Below are 6,082 nucleotides of genomic sequence, written 5' to 3'. Positions count from 1 at the left end.
GCATGCCATTCTCCTGCGCAGCCTCCGGAGCAACTAGGTCTACAGGTCCCCGCCACCATGCCCAACTAATTTTTTGTAGTTTTAGTAGAGACGGGGTTTCACCATGTTAGCCAGGAGGGTCTCAATCTCTTGACCTCGTGATCCACCCGCCTCAACCTCCCAAAGTGCTGGGATTACAGGCGTGAGCCACCACACCTGGCCCAGACTGGTGATTATTAATGTAGTTTTTAAACAATTAAAAAACATTTGTTTTGCCTTCGAAAGAAAATGTATTTTATTTTAATGAAATGTCTACCATCAGTTTTGGAACATTACCTAAGTGAAATAAAGAAGTTTCTAGTAGTTTTGTTCCAAACATAGGAAAAAAAAACCACAAGAAAAAAAACAAACTTTTTTCCTTTACATGTTCTATATCAAGAAGTGAATAATACTGCTCAGAAAGACATCAGAGACCGGGGAAGGCAGAAGAAAACATAACTGAGATACTTGTTAAGAATACCTGAGAAGATACTAATTACATAGTAAAAGGAAAAATCATGGATTTGGAAAAGGAAAGTAATCAAGAAGTCTAACTATCATAAGTAATATGCAAAGAAGGATCCAGATGAATACATTCTGTAAACTCTTGGAAATTTGAGTGTGGAACTTAGGAGAGATACCAAAAAGGAGATACAATGATACACAATTTTATCACCTACAAGATACAGGTAAAGTCATGTGAATAGATGAGACCATTATATTTATATAATATATATATAATATATTTATATATATATATATATAGAGAGAGAGAGAGAGAGACAGAAGGTGAAGAAGAAAATAAAAGAAGAATGAAGATTATGAAGAATGGAGAAAGGAAGAATATGTTTGGTCATAAGTACAGAGGAAGTGACTCACCAGGGAAACATACCAGGTGTTAGAACAAAGAGACCACTCAGGAAAGTTCTGTGTCATGAAGATGTCAGAGATGCATGAGTTAAGGAAGAAGGTGGGGTGATAAGAGAATAACAGGTAGAGGAGAGACCTTGACTTCATTCATGGTTACTAGAGCCTATCTCTGTAAATACATCTAATAGGTTTGTATGGGTAAACCATTCATTAAGAACAATGCGTACATGTTTTGGATGATTCTTTCTGTGCTTGTACTTGAAATAAAGCAGAATGTCTTCTGGTGTTGTATACTTACCAAATCAGAAAATAGTGAAGTATGAAACTATAGAATTCAACGTGCAATTTGTATTTATATGTCTAGAAGACTGATTATAATCTTTAGTAATGAAATTTGATTTGGTAGTTAAATAATAAATACTACTTGGTTATGTGGGAAGGATAAAGGAAGACATTCCAAAGAGTTCGGAGACACATTTGGGAAAGAGTAAAAAATTTAAAACAAACAAATAAAAAAACGTAAAGGCACAAATGGCAATGGAGTGTCTATGGAGGTTTGAGAAACAATGAAGAGGTAAGCCTGGCTAAAATGGGATAACTATGCTGAGAAAGTGTGAAAAACATAAATTTGGGAGAAACAGGTAATAAACAAATGTATTAGATTGGTGTAAAAGTAATTGCGGTTAATAAAAGGCTTTACAAATATAATAGTTTTGGATTTGTGAATAGATAACTAGCTCTTATTGAACAGTCTTTAATCTGGAAAAAAATATTTTTTGGGAGATGATTATTTGCAAGATTTTAGAGACACTGTTGATGGTGTTGGTGGGCAGAGAGGGAAGAAAGATTCAATGGTGAGCACATCCTGAAAGCAGAGAGATAAGCCAGTAAAGGGCTCCTGAGAGGTGGCAGCCACAGGAATGAAAGGGAAAAATCTAAATTAAAATGATTGAAGCAAATTATTGCAATAGAAGAAAAATAGACAGTGTGATGGGATACTGGTCTACCACACAGATTTGGTTTAAGCTAAGATACTAAAGAAGCCAAAAACTTAGAATTGGTTATTTTCAATGGTAACTAGTAAGCAAATCGGTAATTGTGCATGCTTAAATATAGTATTCCAGCCAACACACTTGAAAGTATACGGAAAGGGATAAATAAAATACATTTTTCACCTCAATTAGAACAGGGGAAATTATTTAAGGGATTGTGAGTCTGAGACTCTAATTTTATGATTATGCTTTCCTCTTTTAAAGAATAATAAGAGATAAGATAATTTTAAGTATATACTAGGATTTGTCCTTTACTTATGTATTTATCCACTTATTTATTCAGTTATTAATCAACATATTGAAATTTTAACATAAAAATAGGATTCATTTAAAAAAGAACCTTTACTTTTCAATTAATATTGGTGAGATAGCCATAATCTTTTACAGTTCAATATGAAAATTAAAATATATCACAATACCAGTTTTATTTTCTCCCTTTAAATCTCTATTTTTCAGGAATATTAGTAAATATTAAAACTTATCCAACAACTAAACTGGTGTGCTTAAGGAGACTATGTTTTAAATTTAAAGAAGTTTTCTCATAATGAATTTATTAACTTCCTGTGCTTTATACCAACTATACTCATCTTTCAGGAACTGATGGCCTTTGTTCCTCCTTGCTGTGACTCCAGTCTTCTGTCTTCCATCCCAATGTGTTCCTTAAATCCATTTGCACACTTCCCCATACAAGATCCGTGATACTTTCATTAGAGATAAAAATCCTCTCAGGCTTATTCATTTCCTATAAAACCCAGTTTAATGCTTTCCCTTTTTGTGAATAAATCCCTTATTTATGTTTGGGAAAATGTCCTACTCTCCAAATTTTTGTTGCCTTTCCTTTGCGTTGGAAAGTACTGCACAAATATTTATCTTGTCTTGTACATTCGTAGGCTGAACCTGTACCTCTTTTATTACATTCTCCTGAAAAGCCAAACTCTAAAAGTAGAGCAGAGTTTATTTTCTCTACTGTTAAGTTTCTTTGTTTCCCATCTCAAGAAAATCATATACGTAGAATGATTGCAGAAAATGTGGAATATGGTGTTTTCTGTTGGGACATATTGAGGAATTTCAGTAGAAAAATGGTCATTGTTTTATCTGAAAACAATTCGTGAAATCTTTAAAATTTATGATGGCAGAATGAACAATAGATGGTGAGTAAAAAAGATTCTATTTGAGTGCCTATAAGGGTGAAAAGTATTCTGTCCCCCAGGCATACATATTTTCTCTGCTGGATTTCATTGAAAGCTGACTTTTTGTTAGAAAAGGTAATAGCCTAGAGTTATGATCTCAATAGCATAAAACACTGCAGCCAATTTTAGATGAACTTGCTACTAGGAATATTTTATTGATTATATGCCCAATTGTCTGCAAAGATTAATAAGATGGCAAAAAAAAAAAGAATTACAATATCTAATTCAATAATCTTTCATGGATTACAATAAAGTATCTATCATTTCAGCACAGATTTTTATTATTTTCTTTATACTTCTTTTCTGGATATTCTCTGTGTGACCTTCTACTGAACTATTTTGACTAGGTGTGAAGATCATTCCATCAAATTAATAGAGGAAAAAAAGGCTCTGCTTTCATTATAGTCTGAAATATCTATTTGTTCAATATACTAAAAACAGATACCTACTAGCACAGCAAGTTTTCTTTCTTGAATAATAGTTTTCTAACTGGATTTTGAAAATGTTTTTAAGAAAATCTGTCCAGTTTTCTATTATGTTCAGTTAGTTTTAAATAATTTTCCAGGAAAATATTTTCAAATTTCCCATTATTATATAATTACACTATATTTTTCTGAAAAGTATTTAGAAATGGACTCATCTATTTTGGTAGCAAATATGGATCTGAACAGGAATTTTATAATACTTAATTTCATACTTACGTGAAATTATATATTTAATAACAGGGAGATGGTTTTATTTTATTTCACTGGCCTACCACAGTTTCCAATTGAAGATTGACTTGTTCTGCATACATTGAATAGTTTTTTCAAGTAGTATATTATAACATACAAATAACTTCCCATATATCACTGGGCATATACCTGACTCTTGCTAAATGATTGTGAATAAATAAAATAATGTATAGCAATCAAGGAACTATAGGGAAACAGCCTGTTGCATGGCAGGAGTGATGTCATCTTGAAACTAAGCAGGTATAATGACTGATATTTGACTCCTGCTAGCAAGGTGTTCTGCAAGGCCAAGAAACAATGCCTGTAGCATAGATAATCCCTCATAAAGATGCTATCTAACTTCCTCAGCAAACAAGAGTTTCATAAAATGGTCTGAGACATGACCAGCTGCACATATTTTACCAAAAAAGCTTGCTATATAAAGAATACTTTCTGGAGGTTGGTGTGGGATCTACCATCCCACGGCCAAGACCTTGCTTCTGTTCATAAGCCCCTATTAAATGTTTCTTTCATGCGCGTCTGTGTGAAGAGACCACCAAACAGGCTTTGTGTGAGCAACATGGCTGTTTATTTCACCTGGGTGCAGGCGGGCTGAGTCCAAAAAGAGAATCAGTGATGGGAGATAAGGGTGGGGCCGTTTTATAGGATTTGGGTAGGTAAAGGAAAATTACAGTCAAAGGGGGTTTGTTCTCTGGCGGGCAGGAGTGGGGGTCACAAGGTGCTCAGTGGGGGTGCTTTTTGAGCCAGGATGAGCCAGGAAAAGGACTTTCACAAGGTAATGTCATCAGTTAAGGCAAGGACCGGCCATTTACACTTCTTTTGTGGTGGAATGTCATCAGTTAATGTGGGGCAGAGCATATTCACTTCTTTTGTGATTCTTCAGTTACTTCAGGCCATTTGGTCATATATGTGCAAGTCACAGGGGATGGGATGGCTTGGCTTGGGCTCAGAGGCCTGACATTCCTGCCTTCTTATATTAATAAGAAAAATAAAACAAAATAGTGTTGAAGTGTCGGAGTGGCGAAAATTTTTGGGGGGTGGTATGGAGAGAGAATGGGCGATGTTTCTCAGGGCTGCTTCAAGCGGGATTAGGGGCGGCGTGGGAACCTAGAGTGGGAGAGATTAAGCTGAAGGGAGATCTTGTGGTAAGGGGTGATATTGTGGGGATGTTAGAAGGAACATTTGTCATATAGAATGATTGGTGATGGCCTGGATACGGTTTTGTATGAATTGAAAAACTAAATGGAATAACAGAAGGAGAAAAACAGGTATAAAAGTTCTAAGAATTGGGACGACTCAGGATTATCTGATTAGAGAGTGCTTAAGGAGATTCGGCATAGTCCTGCCAGCAAAGATTATTTATTTACTTCAAGAGTTAAGAGTGGCAGTTTGGGGATAGCACCAGGAGATATCAGCTGTGATGGCTTGGAAAAACAGTGTAAACCGGCTAAACAAGAGCAGGGCATGTATGAGTAGTTGAGAACGGTGAATAGGAGTATGACTAGACAGAAGATAGGGATGACAAGTTTTTTTGGGACACAGTCTAAGTTGGTCTGGTGTCTGGAATGAGACTGGGGCCTAATAAAAAGGAGCGTCTATACAGGAGCTTAAATGGGCTGTACCCTGTAGCATTCCGAGGACAGGCCTGAATTCTGAGAAGGAAATGTAGTAAAAGTATTGTCCAGTCCTTTTTAAGTTGGTGAACTTGGTGAGGTGTGTATTTAAAAGACCTTTAGTCCATTCTACTTTTCTTGAAGATGGAGGACCGTAAGGGATATAAAGGTTTCACTGAATACTAAGAGCCTGAAAAACTGCTTGCCTGATTTGACTAATAAAGGCTCATCTGTTATCAGACTGTATTGAGGTGGGAAGGCTAAACTGAGGAATTATGTCTGACAGAAGGGAAGAAATGACTGCGGTGGCCTTCTCAGACCCTGTAGGAAAGGCCTTTACTTATTCAGTGAAAGTGTCTATTTAGACTAAGAGGTATTTTAGTTTCCTGACTTGGGCATGTTGAGTAAAGCTAATTTGCCAGTCCTCGAGCTTGATGTGTAGGGAAGGGATGGGGCCTGAATAATCCCTGAGGAGTAGTAGAATAGCAGATGGAACACTGAGAAGTTATTTCCTGGAGGATAGATTTCCACGATGGAAAGGAAATGAGAGGTTTTAAGAGGTGGGCTAGTGGCTTGTACTATAGCATAACCTGCCTTTCTGGTGT

This window comes from Homo sapiens, chromosome 14 (genome assembly GCF_000001405.40).
Source record: "Homo sapiens chromosome 14, GRCh38.p14 Primary Assembly".
NCBI classification, from domain to species: Eukaryota; Metazoa; Chordata; class Mammalia; order Primates; family Hominidae; genus Homo; species Homo sapiens.
This window is presented reverse-complemented; position numbering follows the sequence as displayed.